This window comes from Homo sapiens, chromosome 14, assembly GCF_000001405.40.
Source record: "Homo sapiens chromosome 14, GRCh38.p14 Primary Assembly".
Taxonomy (NCBI): domain Eukaryota; kingdom Metazoa; phylum Chordata; class Mammalia; order Primates; family Hominidae; genus Homo; species Homo sapiens.
This window is the reverse complement of record NC_000014.9, coordinates 64880708-64902314: the sequence shown is the minus strand read 5'-3', so window position 1 is coordinate 64902314 and position 21607 is coordinate 64880708. Positions and strand designations below refer to the sequence as shown.

Sequence of the window (21607 nt, the reverse complement as noted above, 5' to 3'; positions counted from 1 at the left end):
CCTGAGAGATGATTCTGTCCTAATTATCTCTTACCCACATGTCTTTCGTTTTTTAGTTTGTGTTCTAGTTCATTTTCAGAGCGTTCGCTCTCATGACTGCTGTCTTTCTTTTGGTTTTTAGATCTTCTTCCTTCTCTTTCTTTAGTTCCTGGTGGTTGAGCAGGGATAATGCTGAACTGGGGCCAGGTGTTAATTAAGCAAAATAAGTCAAGCAAGTCAAGACTTCCAAGCATTTGGTTTCAGGTAAGTTAACCACCACAGCATTTCCTTAGAAATAATTTTATTTTGATTTGATTTCTGTAAGTCCTCTGGTTGGGGCTGTTATCTTTCTGCTGTGTGACAAAGCAATGCAAAGAGGATGCGTCAAGATACAGACGAATGACATTATTCAGCAACAAGGCAACAGGGCAGAGCCTTGTGCCAGAGGCCTCAATCCAGTCCTCAGCAAAATCTTGAGGACATTTTTTGATGTCACTATCTGTTTCTGGGGACATAGAGGTTTTTGTCTTTTTGCCAGAAGGAAAATTGGGTAGTGAATTTTCTGATTTGAAGGTTTATTCCTAACCCATGTTTCATTCCTAAACAACAGAGTAAAGACATCATCATGATGAACAAACAACTTTTAGTGTATATTATGTGTAAGACGCTGGCCAGGCACCAGGAGAACACACAGAGAGAATACATAATTTATACTCGGATGATTTACTATCTTGAGGAGATTAGATATATGCATTTAAATACATACATACATTTTAACAAACAAATAAAAACTACCAGATAACACATACCAAGTGCCAAAGGGTAATATATAAGTAGGTTGACCATATGGCCCAGCTTGTCCTGGACAGTCCCAGTTCATACCTGTGGTTTCAGAGTAATTGTGACCCTTTTAACAAGCAAATATACAATCTGGATGATAAATTATATGGTCACCATACGTACAGACCACTAATCTAGGAATCAAGAGGAGGGGGTGATTATCAATGGCTGGGGCAGTGGGTGGTGAGTTCATGGAACTCGTAGAACTTGAGCTGGGCCTTGAAGGAAGAGTTAGGGCAGAGGCAAGGGGCAAGTAGTCTATACGAAGAAGACCAAGAACAAAAGCACCAGCCAGGCGTGGTGGCTTATGCTTGTAATCTCAGCACTTTGGGAGGCTGAGGCGGGCAGATCACCTGAGGTGAGGAGTTTAAGACCAGCCTAGCCAACATAGTGAAATCCCATCTCTACCAAAAAAAAAAAAAAAAAAAAAAAAAATTAGCCAGCTACTCAGGAGGCTGAGGCAGGAGAATCACTTGAACCCAGGAGGCAGAGGTTGCGGTGAGCTGAGATCGCGCCACTGCACTCCAGCCTGGGCAACAGAGTGAGACACCATCTCAAAAAAAAAAAAAAAAAAAAAAAGAACAAAGGCACCAAAAGGAACATGGGAATAAAGTACAGTCACTGCACTACTCCAGGGGACACTGTTCACATTATATTCTCTGTGAATAGTGTCCTCTGGAATGTGCAAGTGTCAGCTCTAAGGGTATGTCATATTTGGGAGCAATTGGAAAATTAGCTGGAGAAGAGAATTTGTGTAAAGGATTTGTGTGAGGTAAGAATAGAAATAAGTATTAGCTGGTTGTGGTGGTGCATGCCTGTAGTCCCAGCTACTTGGGAGGCTGAGGCAGAAGGATCACTTGACCCCAAGAGGTTGAGGCTGCAGTGAGCTAAGATCACGCTACTGCATTCCAGCCTGGGTGACAGAGCAAGTCCCCATCTCAATTAAAAAAATTTTTTTAAAGAATAAAAAGAAGTAAGAAGCAGATAGTGGAGGATATTAAATGCCAGGTTAAGATATGTAACTTTCATCCTATAGGTGATAGGAATCTAACTGAAGAGTTTTGAATAAGGAAATGATACCTACAACAATATATTTTTAAAAGAATAATATTCCCAATGAAACTGTTGAATGTATTAAAAGGAAAAGGAAGACGAAGGAGAAGAACTAGTTTCAAAACTATTGGGAATGCATAGGAGAGAAATGATGAGTCTGAGCTACAGTAGTGGCAGTGGGAAAGGGAAAGGAAAAGAGACTTGAGAGAATTTGCAAAGGCAGGATTGATAAGAGTTTGGTAACTGGCCAACAATGCAAGAAGAGGGAACAGTCAAGAAGGACTCAAGATTTCAAACCTGAGTCACTGAGAAAATGATGGTATCATTGATGAATGTGGAGAAGTTGAGAGGAGGGAGGACTTAACTTTGAGGGGAAAGATAAGCTCTGTTCTAGACAAGATGAGTTTCAGACATCCATTTGGAAATATCCAGTAGGAAATATTAAGTTGCAGCTGAGACAGGAGATCATGACTAGAGATGTGGATTTAGGAATTCTGTGGAGCATTGAATAATTGAATGAAAAAGTGTTTTCCTTCAAGATCATAAGTGGCAGACAGCCCAAGATTATCACTTGGGTTGCAATTTTATTGGTAGAGTAGATAGGAATATAGGTTGGAAACATAGCAGAAGAGATCCCAGAGGTGGAAGTAAAAAGACAGTGTGGTACGTCAAGACGGCAAAAGGAAAAGAACATTTCAAGCTGGAGAGGTTGGTCTACAGGGCCAAATGCCGGAAGGAGGTCAAAGAAGATGAAAATTGAGAAAATTAATAGTTTTTGGTGGTGAGGATGACGCTGTGGACTTTAGAGGGTATGATTTTATTGTGGTTTTATAGATGTGCTCCATGTTTTAAGGGTGAGGGATGAGTAGGTGGCAAGTCAAGGTAGATAATGAATGAAGGCTGATTTTGTGAGAAATTTGGCAGTAAAAGAAGAGAAAAATGGGATGAAAGTTCAAGGAATAGCCACTACTAAGAAAGAATTTTTTTTCCTTTTCCTGAGACTGGGTCTTGCTCTGTCACCCAGGCTGGAGTGCAGTGGCACCACCAAGGCTCACTGCAGCCTCAACCTCCTGGGCCCCAGCGATCCTCTAACCTCAGCCTCCCATGTAGCTGGGACTACAGGTGTGTGCCACCATGCCCAGCTAATTAAAAAAAATTTTTTTAGAGACAGTCTTGCCATGTTGCTCAGGCTGGTCTTAAACTCCTGGGTTCAAGTGATCCTCCTGCCTCAGCCTTCCAAAGTGCTGGGATTACAAGTGTGAGCCACTACTCTTGGCCAAGGAAGGATTTTTAAAAATATATATGATAAGGAGTTTATGTTACATGTTGGACTATAGATAGCCCTTTATTTGCTTAGAATAAATTCTGATTTTTCAAATTGCTCGCAGTACCTTTTTCCTCTGAATTCTATGCAAGAAGTTTACTACATCAAGGGAAGAAGAAAATACAGATAGGACAAGATCTGATAAAGGATTCAATAGTTACTTATCAAAAGATTAAAATGGACTTAATCTCCTTCATGTAGCTGGGGCCCTTTTCTATTCAGGCAGAAATTTAGGTTAGAAGAGGATATCTCTAAAATACTGAAGAAGATTTTTTGCTTGCTTGTTTTTTGTTTGCTTGTTTTTAGAGACAGGGTCTTGCTCTATCACCCAGTCTGGAGTGCAGTGGTGTCATCATAGCTCACTGCAGCCTCAAACTCCGGGATTAAACAATCCTCCTGGCTTAGCCTCCCAAAGTGCTGGGATTACAGACATGATAAGCCACTGCACCCAGCCTGTTTGTTTTTTTTCGAGAGTTTTCTAAAGCCCCCAGTGCACTCCCCAGTTTAAAAACCTTCAGTGGCCTACAGATTCCCCAGCCTGACATCCTCATGCTTTCCACTTTCCCAGCCACCATCGTTCAGGCCCCGGTTACTTCTCCCCTTGATGACTATAATAGTCTGTCTCCTATCTCTCTTCACTCTAGCCATCCTACATACTGCTGCTAGCTTAATTTTCCTAAAGCACAGTACTGATCCTATCTGTGCCTTGATAAAAGCCTTCAACGAATTACCATTGTCAACTGAATTAGGCACAGGTTCCTCTACCTGACTGTTAAAGCCAGCCACAATGTGGCCGTGGTTCACCTCTTCTGTCTTAATTTCTATACTTTCCATATATATAAACTGATTTACAGGCATAAAAATGTGTCACCTAGTCCTTCTATTTGGAGTGGCCATATGACATTTTCCTATTAAAAAACAACAAGTAATTTACACACAAAAGCGGGAAAAAGAAGGTGTGAGGGTCATTTTTGCTTGTTTTTTGAGACAGGGTCTCTTTTTTTTGAGACAGTCACTCAGGCTGCAATGCAGTAGCATGAACCTGGCTCACTGCAGCCTCAACCTTCCAGCCTTAAGTGATCCTCCCACCTCAGCCCCCTGAGTAGCCGGGACTACAGGCATGCACCACCATGCCTGGCTAATTTTTTGTTGTTGCTGTTTCTTAGAGACAGGGTTTCAATATGTTGCCTCAAACTTCTGGACTCAAGCAATCCTTCTGCCTCAGCCTCCCAAAGTAGTGGGATTACAGGCATAAGCCGCCATGCCTGGCCTTCATTTTTCATTTCCTGTTAAGTGTGATCTTGCTGTCTGAACCCTCTCCCCAGAATTTGCTTTGTAATTTTTATATGGCATTTAACAAATGCTGCCTTATATTAGAATCATTTGTTTCCTTCTCCTATCTCCACCCCACTAGAGTGAATGCAGCCTGAGGACAAAGACCATATGGTCCTCATCTCCGATCTCCGCCTTGCACATGGGGCATTCAATAATTTTTCTAAAATTTCCTGACTATATTGAAAAGAGGTTGTGGGTTGCCCTTAAATAACTCTGCCATTGCTTACCATTTCTCAAGATGTTCTTATCCTTTCCTATCAAGACACATGCTTTTTTTTTTCTTTGATGTAACACATGTATGTCCTTATATGGCTATACAAACATTATTTGTTGCATTTTAGGTAGCTAGAAGACAGGCAGTTTTTACTGTTTAATCTAGTTTATGGAATGCTCAATTGAAAGATTTACAAATATAAACTCTTACTAAATCTTTTAAAATAATAATTTTAATCATAACTCTACTTACAGAAGATTATTTTATAAATCAAGTGTTCTTAAACCAGGATGGAACTATATATAAAATTAAGTATTTGTGTATAAATGTATATTTTTCTCTGTAGAGAGGGTGCATAGCTTTCATTACATACAGGAGTTTGTTACCCAGAAAGAGTAAGAACCATTCTTATGAATCACTACTTCTACAGCAATGTTTTTACTTTGTCCTAACTCATTACTTGCAAAGGAATTTTTTAAAGTACCAGTAGTTGTTTCATAGACAACAGAACCAGTCAAAGAATCATTTAGGATAGTTCCTGATGCTACTTCCAAACCTCTACCTTGTCCCCACTTTGCTACCAGTCTTGCCTTCAGCTTAATTGAAGAACAAAATAATGAGATCACACACATGATGTACAAAGACCTCACCATCTGCCACATACATCTTCCTTTTCACGCCTTCTTTTGGAGGCCTCTGCTATTTTCACAGGAGATTTTTATCCAGATTCCCACTATGAAAATTCTTGTCCCTCTCCCTCTCCCGTCTCCCTCTCCCTCTCCCGTCTCCCTCTCCCTCTCCCGTCTCCCTCTCCCTCTCCCGTCTCCCTCTCCCTCTCCCGTCTCCCTCTCCCTCTCCCGTCTCCCTCTCCCTCTCCCGTCTCCCTCTCCCTCTCCCGTCTCCCTCTCCCTCTCATGCCGAGCCAAAGCTGGACGGTACTGCTGCCATCTCGGCTCACTGCAACCTCCCTGCCTGATTCTCCTGCCTCAGCCTGCCGAGTGCCTGCGATTGCAGGCGCGCGCCGCCACGCCTGACTGGTTTTCGTTTTTTTTTGGTGGAGATGGGGTTTCGCTGTGTTGGCCGGGCTGGTCTCCAGCTCCTAACCGCGAGTGATCCGCCAGCCTCGGCCTCCCGAGGTGCTGGGATTGCAGATGGAGTCTCGTTCACTCAGTGCTCAATGGTGCCCAGGCTGGAGTGCAGTGGCGTGATCTCGGCTCGCTACAACCACCTCCCAGCCGCCTGCCTTGGCCTCCCAAAGAGCCGAGATTGCAGCCTCTGCCCGGCCGCCACCCCATCTGGGAAGTGAGGAGCGTCTCTGCTTGGCCACCCATCGTCTGGGATATGAGGAGCCCCTCTGCCTGGCTGCCCAGTGTGGAAAGTGAGGAGCGTCTCTGCCCGGCCGCCATCCCATCTAGGAAGCGAGAAGCGCCTCTTCCCCGCCGCCATCCCATCTAGGAAGTGAGGAGCGTCTCTGCCCGGCCGCCCATCGTCTGAGATGTGGGGAGCACCTCTGCCCCACCGCCCTGTCTGGGATGTGAGGAGCGCCTCTGCTGGGCCGCAACCCTGTCTGGGAGGTGAGGAGTGTCTCTGCCCGGCCGCTCCGTCTGAGAAGTGAGGAAACCCTCTGCCTGGCAACCGCCCCGTCTGAGAAGTGAGGAGCCCCTCCGTCTGGCAACCACCCCGTCTGGGAAGTGAGGAGCGTCTCCGCCCGGCAGCCACCCCGTCCGGGAGGGAGGTGGGGGGGGTCAGCCCCCCGCCCGGCCAGCCGCCCCGTCCGGGAGGTGAGGGGCTCCTCTGCCCGGCGGCCCCTACTGGGAAGTGAGGAGCCCCTCTGCCCGGCCAGCCGCCCCGTCCGGGAGGGAGGCGGGGGGGGGGGGTCGGCCAGCCGCCCCGGCCGGGAGGTGAGGGGCTCCTCTGCCCGGCCGCCCCTACTGGGAAGTGAGGAGCCCCTCTGCCCGGCCAGTCGCCCCGTCCAGGAGGGAGGTGGGGGGGTCAACCCCCCGCCCGGCCAGCCGCCCAGTCCGGGAGGGAGGTGGGGGGTCAGCCCCCCGCCTGGCCAGCCGCCCCGTCCGGGAGGTGAGGGGCGCCTCTGCCCGGCCGCCCCTACTGGGAAGTGAGGAGCCCCTCTGCCCGGCCAGCCGCCCCGCCCAGGAGGGAGGTGGGGGGGTCAGCCCCCCGCCTGGCCAGCCGCCCCATCCGGGAGGGAGGTGGGGGGGTCAGCCCCCCGCCCGGCCAGCCGCCCCGTCCGGGAGGGGGGAGGGGGGGTCAGCCCCCTGCCCGGCCAGCCGCCCCGTCCGGGAGGGAGGTGGGGGGGGTCAGCCCCCCGCCCGGCCAGCCGCCCCGTCCGGGAGGGAGGTGGGGGGATCAGCCCCCTGCCTGGCCAGCCGCCCCGTCCGGGAGGTGAGGGGCGCCTCTGCCCGGCCGCCCCTACTGGGAAGTGAGGACCCCTCTGCCCGGCCAGCCGCCCCGTCCGGGAGGGAGGTGGGGGGGGTCAGCCCCCCGCCCGGCCAGCCGCCCCGTCCGGGAGGGAGGTGGGGGGATCAGCCCCCTGCCTGGCCAGCCGCCCCGTCCGGGAGGTGAGGGGCGCCTCTGCCCGGCCGCCCCTACTGGGAAGTGAGGACCCCTCTGCCCGGCCAGCCGCCCCGTCCGGGAGGGAGGTGGGGGGAACAGCCCCCCGCCCGGCCAGCCGCCCTATCCAGGAGGTGAGGGGCGCCTCTGCCCGGCCGCCCCTACTGGGAAGTGAGGAGCCCCTCTGCCTGGCCAGCCGCCCCGTCCGGGAGGGCGGTGGGGGGGTCAGCCCCCCTCCCGGCCAGCCGCCCCATCTGGGAGGTGAGGGGCACTTCTGCCGGGCCGCCCCTACTGGGAAGTGAGGAGCCCCTCTGCCCGGCCACGACCCCGTCTGGGAGGTGTGCCCAGCGGCTCATTGGGGATGGGCCATGATGACAATGGCGGTTTTGTGGAATAGAAAGGCGGGAAGGGTGGGGAAAAAATTGAGAAATCGGATGGTTGCCGGGTCTGTGTGGATAGAAGTAGACATGGGAGACTTTTCATTTTGTTCTGTACTAAGAAAAATTCTTCTGCCTTGGGATCCTGTTGATCTGTGACCTTATCCCCAACCCTGTGCTCTCTGAAACATGTGCTGTGTCCACTCAGGGTTAAATGGATTAAGGGCGGTGCAAGATGTGCTTTGTTAAACAGATGCTTGAAGGCAGCATGCTCGTTAAGAGTCATCACCACTCCCTAATCTTAAGTACCCAGGGACACAAACACTGCGGAAGGCCGCAGGGTCCTCTGCCTAGGAAAACCAGAGACCTTTGTTCACTTGTTTATCTGCTGACCTTCCCTCCACTATTGTCCTATGACCCTGCCAAATCCCCCTCTGCGAGAAACACCCAAGAATGATCAATAAAAATAAAAAATAAAAAAAAAAAAAAAAAAAAAAAGAGCACGAAGTGAGAAGAAGCTGGCCTTGCCCTACTTGGATTATCAAAGGAAGTAACAACTCTGGACAAGGAGAGATTGCTCTGCCTGGTGATAGCAGAGGAGTCTCAGAACCAGAGGAGGAGGTGGCACATGGCTTTATCCTGTGCACCTCTCCCTCACTTAACAACTTTCATTCTTCCTGAAAATGAAAGCCTGCCATATGCTTGCTGAGCTGTGGACTTTTCACGAGCCCAAGTGAAAAGCTGTTAAATGAAAACATATCTTTTTTAAACATTTTTAGGGAATAAATTATGATGCTCTCCCTTCCAACTCAAGACACTCAAATAATCCTCACAGATAGAAAAATGTATCCATTGAACAATGAGAATGAGTTTATGTAAGTAATAACAATCGGAGAGTAAATAAATGCAGTTTGCTCATCAAAAAAAAAAAAAAAAAAAAAAAAAAGAAAATTCTTTAATGAACCCTTCTTTCTCATGCCAACATTTCTGGCCAATCCTACAGTTTTAGATAAGAATTTATTTTAAGAGGAATAAAATCTCTTATAACAGTGCCAATTTGAAGTGCTAGATCCATTAGCTTTTCCTGATAAACTTTAGAAAAAGGGAATGGGAAGTAAACTTCTGGCTTACTATTAAAAACCTGCTTCTTGGTCAGTTTTCTGCAAAAGCTGTCTCTCCTTCTTCCTCTCTCTCATGGATTATTAATAATTTTTCTGTATCTTTCTCCTTTCTATCGTATTCCCTTTGGGATTCACTCTTCCCCAGTGATTTAATTTAGTTAATGTTCTAATTAGTGCAACTTCCACCCAGGAGATTCCTTGAGCTTTCACATCAGTGCTTTTCCATATGATAAACTCCATTAACAAGTCTCTGAACATTCAAGAAAAAGGAAGCAGTTGTTTAATGCAATAGTCTCTACCTCATTTGCCCCTGTCTTCTCATCCAACTTTCTTGGCTGTTCTGGAGCTTCATCAGCAGATAATTCCATCATCAAAGAAATAGGGCTGAGCTTTTTCAGTACGTACTGTCCCTATCATCACTATAAGTAAAAAAATATTTTTATACACAAGGAAAACACCATCCCTTAGAATGGCTTTTTTTTTTTTTTTTTTTTTTTTTGAGATGGAGTGTAGCTCTCTTGCTCAGGCTGGAGTGCAGTGGCTTTTGATCTTGGCTCACTGTAACCTCCACCTCCCGGGTTCAGGCGATTCTCCTGCCTCAGCATCCCAAGTAGCTGGGACCACAGGCACGTGCCACCACACCTGGCTGATTTTTTTTGTACTTTTAGTAGAGACAGGGTTTCACCATGTTGGCCAGGCTGGTCTCGAACTCCTGACCTGAGATGATCCACCTGCCTTGGCTTCCCAAAGTGCTGGGATTACAGATGTGAGCCACTGCGCCCAGCTAGAACAGCTTTTTAAAATGCTGTTTTGTTTGTTTTGTTTTGTTTTGTTTTGTTTTTGTTTTGAGATGGAGTTTCACTCTGTCGCCCAGGCTGGAGTGCAGTGGTGCAATGTCAGCTCACTGCAACCTCCACCTCCTGGGTTCAAGTGATTATCCTGCCTCAGCCTCCTGAGTAGCTGGGATGACAGACATGCACCACCACGCCCAGCCAATTTTTGTAGTTTTAGTAGAGACGGGGTTTCACCATGTTGGCTAGGCTGGTCTCAAACTCCTGACCTTAGGTGATCTGCCCACCTTGGCCTCCCAAAGTGCTTGGATTACAGGGGCGAGCCACCATGCCTGGCTGAGATTTGTTCTGATATACTCATCTTTTTCTTCCAATCTCCAAGGATTCCCAGACATAATTAGGAGTATAGTCTAATCTGGACTGTGAAATCAAATAGCTAAGTGAACCACAACAGACTATTCAATCTGATGTTCTAAGCAACCGTTCTTAACCTTAGTTGCACATTGAAATCAACTGGGGAGCTTACAAAAATTCATGATTGGGTCCCATCCTGAGAGATTCTGATTTACTGGTGTAGGATGCAGCATAGACAGTGGGGATTTTTAAAAGCTAATATAGCAGTAGGCAAAGATGAGAATCCACAATCTAAGGTAGTCAGCACGACTAACACAATCAGCTTCAATCAATGAAGCTGAAACAGTGTCATAATACTGTCATAAGACAGCAGAGGGCAGAGTTGGCTCACATTTACATAGAGATAAACCATCTTACATAGGAAATAGTAAGTAGTTAATGTAATTTTAACTTTGTACTTTGTGGTTGTCTTTTGCCATAAAGCTTTCCTTCACTGTTAAGGCAAAATTACTTTTTGTACATTGGAAATTACTGGGAAGCCCCTGGGGGGCAGCTGATCAATAAGGTCATTGTATAATTTATTGTCCAAACCAGTACATTTTTGAGAGTGCCAAGGGAGCACTATTAACGATTATGCCAGGATAACAGGTGCAAACCTGTTTTGCGCAAACTGGAACATATGGTCACCATGTCTTATGTGGGATCCAGGAGATGAGCTAGAATCTGTAACATAGCTTTATTCATTAAAGCAACTAGTAGAAACTATGTACTTATGCTGTGTACTTATGCGTATTAAAATCTTCAGCATTATTTTTGCGTATGCCCTATCCACCTATCATTGTTTAGTATCATACTAGGGATCTTGGGCAATAGAAGAGAAACTTTTTAAAGTATCAAGCATTATACAATTTAGTTGGGAAGAGAAGACTGATACAGAACTTTGTTCTGGTAAATAAATCACAAGAACACCTTCAAAAATCCCTTCAGTAAGCAGAATATAACAAGTAAAATAAATAATGAGTTAGTGAGAGATAAACTGTAAATTATGTGCATGCTGTTCTTGACTTGTTGTGGCTCCACTTAGAGTTTCTGGTCATGGTCCTTGCATGCCTCCAGCACTTCCAGTAGGCAGAGACCAGTTGACTTCCTGAGCTGCTCTGAGTCTAAACCTCAGAAATTCTCTTCCTTGTGAGCATAGCTTCTCTATTCTCATAGCTTCTCTATTCTCTATTTTCATAGCTTCTCTATGCACTCGCTAACTCCTTAGTTAACCTCTATAGCCATTGATTCCCAAATTGAGTCAAGGAATTTGAGTATGAAAGGTATGATACAAATGGCAAAAAGCAAATAATATACTACTAACAATCATTTAAGTCAGCAACAGGAAGATTCCTCAAGTAGAGAAGTTTAGATCCCGTTTGGACACTCAGATCGCCCATCCCACATAGAGATCCAGATCCCCATACTGGGTGTTGCAACTACGCCACACACTTTTTGACTGATAACAACCACAGTAGTGACCTGTCTTTATGATTTCCCACAAGATTTTTTTTTTCTACCAATTTTCAACTTCAAAACTTATTCACTATTTTGCTTTTTTTTTTTTTTTTGAGCTAGAGTCTCACTCCTTCGCCCAGGCTGGAGTGCAGTGGCACGATCTCGGCTTACTGCAACCTCTGCATCCTGGGTTCAAGTGATTCTCCCACCTCAGCCAGGATTATAGGCACACACCACCACGTATTTTATTTTGTATTTTTAGTAGAGATGTAGAGACAGGGTTTCACCATGTTGGCCAGGCTGGTCTTGAACTCCTGACCTCAAGTGATCTACCACCTTGGCTTCCTGAAGTGCTAGGATTACAGGTGTGAGCCACTGCACCCAGGCCACCATTTTGCATGTAAGAAGCTTATTCTCAGCTGTGTGCAGTGCCTCACACCTGTAGTCCTAGCTGCTTGGGAGGTTGAGATGGCAGGATTCCTTGAGCTCAAGAGTTTGAAACCAGCCTGGGTAACATAACAAGACTCTGTCTCTCAAGAAAAGAAAAGAAAAAAAAAAGCTTATTCTTCTTCTTTTGCTGACTTATCTTGTATGAATTCCCACTTGATAGTTAACCTATCTTATAATTTGTTCTGCATTTTTTGATGTTTATTTGAGTAATAAATATAGTTATCAAGGTTAATTAGGCAACCTTAGGAAACTCAAATAATTAAAGCACAATAGTAAAGAAAACAAAGTTATAAGATCAATCCTGTCATAAAATGGTTAGGGTTTGCTATGGTTTGAATGTGTTCCCCAAAGTTCATGTGTTGGAGACTTAATCCCCAATGCAGCAGTGTTGACAGGTGGTTTTTTTTTTTTTTTTTTTCGAGACAGAGTCTTACTCTGTTGCCCAGGTGGGAGTGCAGTGGTGTGATCTCGGCTTGCTGCAGCCTCGGCCTCCCAGGCTCAGGTGATCCTCCCACCCCAGCCTCCTGAGTAGCTGGGACTACAGGCATGTACAACCATGCCCAGCTAATTTTTAATTTTTTTTTGTAGAGACTGGGTTTTGCCATGTTCTCAAGGCTGGTTTTGAATTCCTGAGCTCAAACAATCCGTCCAGACAGGTGGGATCTTGAGGGAGTTATTAGGTCATGAGGGCTCTGCCCCCATAAATGCATTCATGTTATTATCTTAGGAGGGCATTCATTATCAGGAGAGTGGGTTTGATAAGAACAGCACCTTTTGCCCTCACGTTTGTTCGCTCTCTTGCCCTTCCACCTTTCCACCACGAGATGATGCAGCAAGAAGGCCTTCGCCACATGTTGGTGCCATAATCTTGGACTTCCCAGCCTCCAGAACCATGAGCCAAATAAATTCTGTTTATTATAAATTACCCAATCCATAGTATTCTGTTATAGCAGCATAAAACGAAGTAAGGATTGTTTCTTTCCATAGCCTCAGGTTGGTCTAATGGCCAGTGTGATGACTCGACAGGTCTTCCCATTGCTCATGGGGTGGACTGGTAAGGGGCTGAGCATGAGTCAGGCAACTCCATCTTCCACACTGGCGATGGGATCCCTGAATGAGCAAAACAGATCAGCTGTGCTGGTTTTGATTAGATCCCTGAATGAGCAAAACAGATCAGCTGTGCCGGTTTTGTATAAAAAGAATAGTTTTTTTTTTCTAACCTTTGGGGCACGGTTATTTCATTATCTGAGTTATTGATGAGAATATTCAGACCTTGTTTTCCTTTAGTTCACTGCTGTTTTGTTCTTGTTCTCACCATCCTCTCTATCAAAGCTTGTTCGCAGGTAAGGATCTCATATCTGCTATTTATATTTAACTATATTTTCCCCCACATTGAAAACAACTTTATTATTTATTATAAAATATTCTATGCTTATGAAATACCCAAACCTTATAGCAAAATAGAGAAGGAAGTAAGAATTACTCTAAATCTCACCATCTAGAAATCACTTAGATTTTTTGGAGTATCTTTCCTGATATGAAATGTCTTATTTCTTAATCAAATAGAAATTATTTAGAGCCTACTTAAAAAAAATCAACAGTATGCCATGACATCTTTCCCTATCAGTAAGCATAAAACCACATCACTTAAATGACTACATAGAATTTATGTGTGTGTGTGTGTGTGCATGCGTTCACACCATAATTGGTTTAACCAATCCCATTTTGATGAACATTGAAGTGATTTCCAATTTTTCATTATTATAATGAACATCTACTATGTTCTTAGCATAAGTGTAAAACATAGAAAGCTAAAGCTAAAAGAATCCTTAGAGACTAGCTAGTTCAATGCCATCATTTCGCAGAAGAGAAGCTGAGATATAGAGAGGTTAAGAGGAAGTAGAATCCAGGTATTTTGCCTTTACATCTAGTGATCTTTCTGGTTTACCCTGCTACTATCTTAAAAAAAAAATTCTTGGCTCTTAAAATGTCACTAAGTGGAACTGACTTTTTTTTCTTATGCCAATAGCCAAAAGATCCTACCTTAAAAGCTAACTCCTCCCGGGGTCATTGCATTTTAAGATTTGCTTTTAAGGCTGGACGTGGTGGCTCACACCTGTAATCCCAGCACTTTGGGAGGCCTAGGCAGGTGGATTACCTGAGGTCAGGAGTTCGAGACCAGCTTGGCCAACATGGTGAAACCCCGACTCTACTAAAAATACAACAAAATTAGCCTGGCGTGGTGGCAGGCACCTGTAATCCCAGCTACTTGGGAGGCTGAAGCAGGAGAATCACTTGAATCTGGGAGGCGGAGGTTGCAGTGAGCCAAGATCTCACCATTGCACTCCAGCCTGGATGACAAGAGCAAAACTCTGTCTCAAAAACAAACAAACAAACAAAAGATTTGTTTTTAGTTATGAAATAAGTTAGCAGATTCCAGTACATTCTTTGGAATGAAGGCAGGATAGGGATATGCTGAGTATTTGAAATATATGGGGCTGGTGTTATATGGGGCTGTTTATGCCATAAACAGGCATAAACATATACCTGTTTATGCCTGGCAGTATTTATTTGAGGAGAAGGGTAAGGGTGGAGAAATAGAGTTAGGCAGCAGTTGGGGTCAGTGATGGAAAACAAATGCCCACTCACAGTTTGGAACTCCTCCCAAAAGAAGGGTCTACAGCTTTCCTTTGGTTCAGTTTCTGCTATGGAAGGTCAAGAGCTGGGTGCGTAAGTGCATTTTGATTACTAAGATGGAGATGGAATAGAACAAGCAGCACAGAGTTGTTACTCTACATGCTTAGCATAATGTGGGGCTAAATTCTTGACTTAATTAATGACTTAAAATATTAGGTTATAGTATGAATCATCTACATTACATATCATGGGATTTGTTAATTTAAAAATCATGAGATACTGCTCCTTGAATAAATGATGCTTTAATAAGCAGAGATTTGGATTTCTATGTGATCTTTGTAAAACTACTTAAACTCTTTCTTAATTTCTTAATATAGCAGTAAGGATAATGATAGCAATTTACTTCATGAAATTGAATAAAAATGACATAAGGCATTTGGAAGAGAGAAAATGATAAATGCACTTTTAAAAATAGAATTTTTCATACCAAAAAAATGAGGAAAATGATATTTCTGAGAAGACCCAGTTATATTCTGTATGAATTCTATAAAACATATGTTTGAATTGAATCATAGTTTCTTGTAGACCAGACCTTAAATCATTGAAGAAATATCCAAACAGAAATTGAGCAGCTGTAGAAATATCCAATAGAAAAGAAAATGAGATGAATTTGCAGAAGTAATGGAGTCTTTTATTGCAATGTCTTTCCAAACTTTATTGAAAATTTCCCAAAGGTCTTGGTTAATATTAAGAACAAATATTTGTGAATTTGGAAACTGCTCACTAACAAATAAAAGCAATTAACAAGACCATTTATGCTGGCAGTAATTATCATATAAACACAAAATTGTTTTATTGGTTAAACTGTTAGAACTCCAGCTGTCATTCCATATTAACAAATTTGATTTTTTAAAATTATATTTTCTACCCTTGATTTGAGTTTCTGGCTTGATAAATATTAATAAAGGAAGAGAACAAAGTTTTCATGGTTAGTTACTCTCAGTTGTCTACTTGCAGACTACCCACTGTCTGGAGTACTCAAGGTAGAGTGTTAATATCAAAACAACATTAACTCACTCCTTATAATGCGTTTGGATTCATCTTCCTATGTTCTTAATCCTGTGTACTCAAGGCTTTGGCATATTGGAGTATGGGAGTTGGAGCAGGGCCATTGCCCAAGGATGAGGACTGAAAATGACACTGAGAGGGTGGAGCAGACAGAGACAAAAGCTAACCGAATCATCATTATTGTGTTTGCTATCCCTTGTTATAAAGACGTTGGAAGATGGCAGACCCCTGCCTCCATAGATGAGCTCAGTGGTAACTGTGAGCATAAAACCTACTCGATTCACTCCATTTCTCACCCATTGACAATAAGTTAGGTATGGATGCATCAGGGTAGCTGAGGACCTGGTGAAATTCAGGCACAAATATTGCCAGCTATGTTTCAGGGAATGTGAATTCATTTAAATAACCTTATTCGAACATAGATAGGAAAGTTAATCTCCTGAAAAAAATCACAAATATGCATTTTTAAGCCAAATAGAAATGACTTTTTGAATTACCTGTTCTTTGGTTGATCTCCAAGATTGCAACCTCCTTTAATTTCCATAATGTGTTCATTCATTTATTTACTCATTTGCTCATTAGGCCTTTATTAAGTATATCTTTTGTGTCAGATACTATGCTAAGTGCCAGGAATCTTAAAACTATATCCTGAAAGCAATGGGGAGCCACTGGCTGATTTAAAGAAGCAGAGTGACAAGACCAACCTTCCTTTTTAGAAAGTGTACTTTGGCTACTATGTGGAAGCAGAATTGAAGGAGAGGGAAACTGGAGAACGGATGAACAGGTAAGAGGCTCCAGAAGCAATTCATTGTGAGAAAAGATGAGGCTGTGTGATGGACTTAATTGTATCCCCCTAAATTCACATGTTGAAGTCTTAGATCTCAATGCCTCAGAAAGTGACTGTATTTGGAGATAAGGCTTTACAGAGGTAGTGAAAGTAAAACTGAGGTCATATGGATGGGCCCTAACCAAATATAACTCATGTCCATAAAAAAAAAAAAGAGAGTAGGACATAGGTGCACACAAAGTGGAGACTATGTGAAGACAGAGGGAAAAGATAGCCCTCTACAAGCCAAGGAGAGAGGCTTCAGAAGAAATCAACCCTGCCGAAACCTTGATCTTGGACTTCTAGACCCTAGTACTGTAAGAAAATTAATTTTTGTGTTTGAGTCACCCAGCATATGGTACTTTGTCATGGGAGCCCTAGCAAATTAATACAGCCTTGGGAACAAGGTGAATTAGCACCTACAGGTCCCAGTTCATCAGATACCCCAGTGTAAGTCTGCCATTACATCTACTCAAGCTCATGTGAGGTGACAAAAAACCTAATCCTGTGTGGCAAGGAAAGATCAGGAACTGCAATATAAGAAAAGATGCAGCCAGGCATGGTGGCTCACACCTGTAATCCTAGCACTTTGAGAGGCCAAGGCAGGTGGATCACGAGGTCAGGAGTTCGAGACTAGCCTGACCAACATGGTGAAACCCCGTCTCTACTAAAAATACAAAAATTAGCTGGGCATGGTGGCGCATGCCTGTAATCCCAGCTACTCAGGAGGCTGAGGTGGGAAAATCACTTGAACCCAGGAGGTGGAGGTTGCAGTGAGCCACTGCATTCCAGCCTGGGCAACAGAGCAAGACTCCACCTCAAAAAAAAAAAAAAGAAAAGAAAAGATGCTCATTAATTTCCAAGCCTGGTTAATGCTTCCATGGACTAGCAGATGACAGGATACAAATCTTGTTTTGCTTTTTCCTGTTATTGGTGGAGGGAAATTTGAAATTGGTGTCATCTGCCCCTTCAGAAGATGGTTCATCTGGTATTTGCAAACTTGCTGCAGGCTTTCAAGTTCCTTCCACAACCATTCTGTTTGAGGCATCTGAAGGGCAAGTTTGGTCCCTAATCCTTGATTCCTCCATATTGTAAATGGCAGGCTTTTCCAATTGGTCCTGCTGCTGCTTTGTCTTTGAAAGTTGTGGAGAATGTGATGCCTCTAGATGTTTCCAAAAATGAAATGGAAATTTCACCTTAATTTTATGAAATGCATGTCTTTGCAAAAGGGTAAAGAAGGGAAATAATGATTTTTGAGCTATGGGCAGTATTCTGATGATTTCTGAACATTATCATGAGTTCTTGATACCTCCATTGTTGTTGGCGGGGATTTGAGTTTGAGTTGAGTGGAACTTCAGGTTTGTTTGGTTTGGTATTTACGTTTTTCCGTAGCTTTCCTACATATATATTCATTTCTGAATTCAAGTGGTTCATTTATTTCACACAAATAACTTTGGTTATGTGATTCAGTTTTTTGTTTTTGTTTTTATTTTTGTTTTAGATAGGGTCTTGCTCTGTCACCCAAGCTGGAGTACAGTGGCGTGATCATAGCTCACTGCTGCTTCGAACTCCTAGGCTCAGGTGATCCTCCCACCTCAGCCTCCCAAAGTGCTGGGATTACAGGCATGAGCCATCGCATCCAGCTCAAAATATTTTTAGGATCAATTTAATTCAAGGCCAAGCAAGTTGGTGTAGCTTATTATAGTTTTTGGTTTATGACTTATTTTTATTCAATGTCTTGGGTTTTATAAATAAAATCATAAACTTTAAAACTGTTCATAAAACTGTGAACTATATTTAAAAATCATCTGGCTGGCAACTCAGTTGGTTTTTATAATCTGAAAATTTATGCTTTTCTTCAACTCTGAGAATTTCTATTCTACTTTCCCATTATTACCTTCTTCTACTCTCTTTTCTTTCCTTTTGTAACTTCCATTAAGCAAATACTGGACCTTGGGGGATTTTGCCTACATGGCTTTCAACCATTTTCACATACTTTCCATCTCCTTTGTCTTTTGCCCGGTGTTTGGGGAAAATTTCTTTGGCTTCTGTTTCCACTAATTTGCCCTTCAAGTAGGTCTGTTCTGCTTCTCAACTAATGAATTTTCAATATCAGAAATGACTTTTTAAATTTCTAAGGTTTCTCACTGATTATTTGTTGTGGATGCAATATCCTTTCAAGACTTGCTGATTAAAATTAAATTATTTAACATTTATCTTGTTCCTTTTATTAACTTAGTTTCCTCTGATATTATTTCCTTCTATTAGTTGGGTTTGGTGCTTCTCTTTCATGGTATTGGTTCCCCTCTCCCCATAAGATATTTGGTGGTTGTCCTATCATCCCTTAATGTGGGAATGGGCTTGTCTCCTCTTTCTGCTTATCATAGCCTATCTTCAGGGGCTGTGAAGAAGGGTCAGGACATGCTATCCCAAGAGAGTGAATGGTTTCTGTCATTTCTTGGGGTCACTAGATCCCTGAGCTCTGCCCCTTGGGTCCCAGGATCCCCATTAACTTTTTTTTTAAGTCCTGCAGGCAAACACCTGATATTTAATGTGAGCAGGACAGAGGAGGCTCCTAAGTGAATTATTCTGTCTCAGGGCCCCTCCTCCTCTTGTATCCTTTAACTATTGCTTGCAACTTCCCTAAACTATTGCTCCTCCTGAATCTGTTTTGGTTTCCTCTGATTTTGTTTCTCTGTGAATCAGATCTTGCATCTTTTCTGTATCTCTGGATTTCTTGAACATTGTTGGAACACTGATCCCCTTTTCCTTATTTTCCTGTGCTTTTAGATGCCTGTTTCAGACATATCTTCTAATGAAATTTGGGGTAGAAGAGAAGCTAAATGCGTGTATTCAATCCACCATCTCCATCCAATCTTTACTTTTTAATTTATTTATCATCTCTACTTATTATTAAACAATACAAGCTTATTGTGAAAAACTCAAAGACTACAGAAATGGAAAGTGAAAGTTCCCTCTTATGTTAGATGATTCTAACATAAGTCTCAACTTATATCTTCTTGGCCTCACCTGTTGGTTTCAGCTAGACCTGAGTAGACAGTTCTGTGAAGGTTTACCCCCCACTCTCTGGCTGTCAACATCTATTCTCAAATGCACACCTTCTCTTCTGGCCCCAGAACTCTTCCAAATCTGCAGACTGCCTATGTGGAGCTTGCTGGGTAGCTCGGAAGTGTAGGTTTTCAACATGGGTGGGAGACCAGTGGGGGCAGTCCTTTGTCCAACCAGGATGAGGGTTAATCTCCTATCCTTCACATAGACAATTCCAAGAGGTATTCTATACTCTTCTGAGGAGGTCCCTCCAGACGTGATCCCTATTGCCCACAATGATGACCTTGATAACGAACATATGTATGTGTTTCCTTCTCCCTTCTTTTTTTTTTTTTTTTTTTGAAACAGAGTCTTGCTTTGTCACCCAGGTGGGAGTGCAGTGGCGTGATCTTGGCTCACTGCAGCCTATGCCTCCCAGGTTCAAGTGATTCTCCTGCCTCAGCTTCCCAAGTAGCTGGGATTACAGGTGCGCACCACCACACCCAGCTAATTTTTGTGTTTTTAGTAGAGATAGGGTTTTGCCATGTTGGCCAGGCTTGTCTTGAACTCCTGACCTCAAGTGATCCGCCTGCCTCGGCCTCCCAAAGTACTGGGATTACAGGTGTGAGTCACCATGCCCAACCTTTCTCCCTTCTTTTATTCTCCCAATTTCTCATTCCTGGCCACAGAGATCTGTTCCCCTTTCCCTATTATTTGACAATGCCCTTTCCTCACTGCAAGCCTAAATTTCCTCTCTTCCTCAGTTCTGATTTATCATTTCACTGTAACTCTATTAGCTGTAAAGCATTTGGGGATGCTGTCAGGATAACATGCTCTGTAGCAAATGAGGTTGTATTGAATTATTTAGCTTTCAGCTAAAGTGGAGATAACTAAAGCAGCTGAGCTGGTTTGTAAAATGTTGGGGTAATCTGTCTGCTGATTTGGAGTTTTATCATATTAATTTTTTCTTATGGTTGAAAATTATAAATTTTAAGGCTACAAAGAAAAATATGTATGCAACTATTCAGTTCAGTGCCACAGACCTATAGCTAAGGAATTATCTGGCTTGCATAGTATATAATTACGTAGCTGCAGAACCACCATTCTAGAGAACCATGAATTTATCTAATAAGTTTATTCATACAAGCTTTTAAAAAACCATAAATACATAATTTCCCTCCATTTTTTTCTAACAAAAATAGATGAAGGATTTCTTCTTGAGATATATAATAGTCTCAGCTTTTGAAGTTGGCCTGTTTTTCTTGAGCTTTCCTTGCCAGAATTTGACTTTTAAACATTTTTTTTCACAAAACAGAACTTTCTCTTTTTAACTCAGTAATAGAAAAATGCATTCTTAAATGTTGTCAACAAAGGGGAGGAGGGGATCACTGCGAATCTATCGATGACCATGAATGTTTTTGTATCCTCTTTCCCATATTACTAGTGTCTCTTGGAAAATTGAGCTGTAATAAGGATCCAGCCAAGAGGAGGGTGGAGTGAAGAATTCTGTGGCTCTGTAATACCTGGGGCGTTTGTCCCACTCAGCACATCTCAGTGTCTAAATACCCACCCTCAAGAAGTGGGACTGCAGCAGGAAGTGAAGTATCTTTGCATATGTTCAATATATAAACTAAACTCGAACATCTGGCAAACACCCCTTTCCTGGGTGAATTCTGGAAAACAGCACAATTATAATCCCAAGCAAATAACTCAGGAGTAAGACTGTTCCCTTGTTAAGAACACCAGGCAGCATCAGTAAAAGTTAAAACTTCTTCTGCATCTATGCGCTTTTAATCTCCACGGCCATTTCCATAATACCTGAGATTACCTGCGTTGATAGCTGGTGAGAAATCATCCCAGGCACCGCAGGTGGAGAAAAGAGATGAAAGCTACCTCAAGGCGTACACGTAAACCTTACTGAACAATGACCTTGATCGTTAGAAAGTCAAGAAAATGTACTGCCTTGCAAGCTGCCGGTGTTCTATTGAGTTTCTCTCCGGGGGCAACTCGGAGATGCCTTTTTGGCACCATCGGTTCTAGTATTTCCTCTGGCCTGCTGCGCCGCGCCTCATCCAGGCTTGTAGTGAGGCACCCCCACTCGCCCGGAGACCCGGGCCGGCCAGGA

General features: G+C 43.4%; 1 long non-coding RNA gene across 1 annotated transcript; it reads left to right on the top strand.

Moving 5' to 3' along the window:
- The first annotated feature begins 186 nt into the window (after positions 1-186).
- On the top strand, positions 187-21434 carry LOC105370534 (uncharacterized). The gene is made up of 3 exons (XR_943942.3): positions 187-243; positions 16325-16392; positions 20927-21434. It is a non-coding gene; the product is annotated as an uncharacterized LOC105370534 (long non-coding RNA).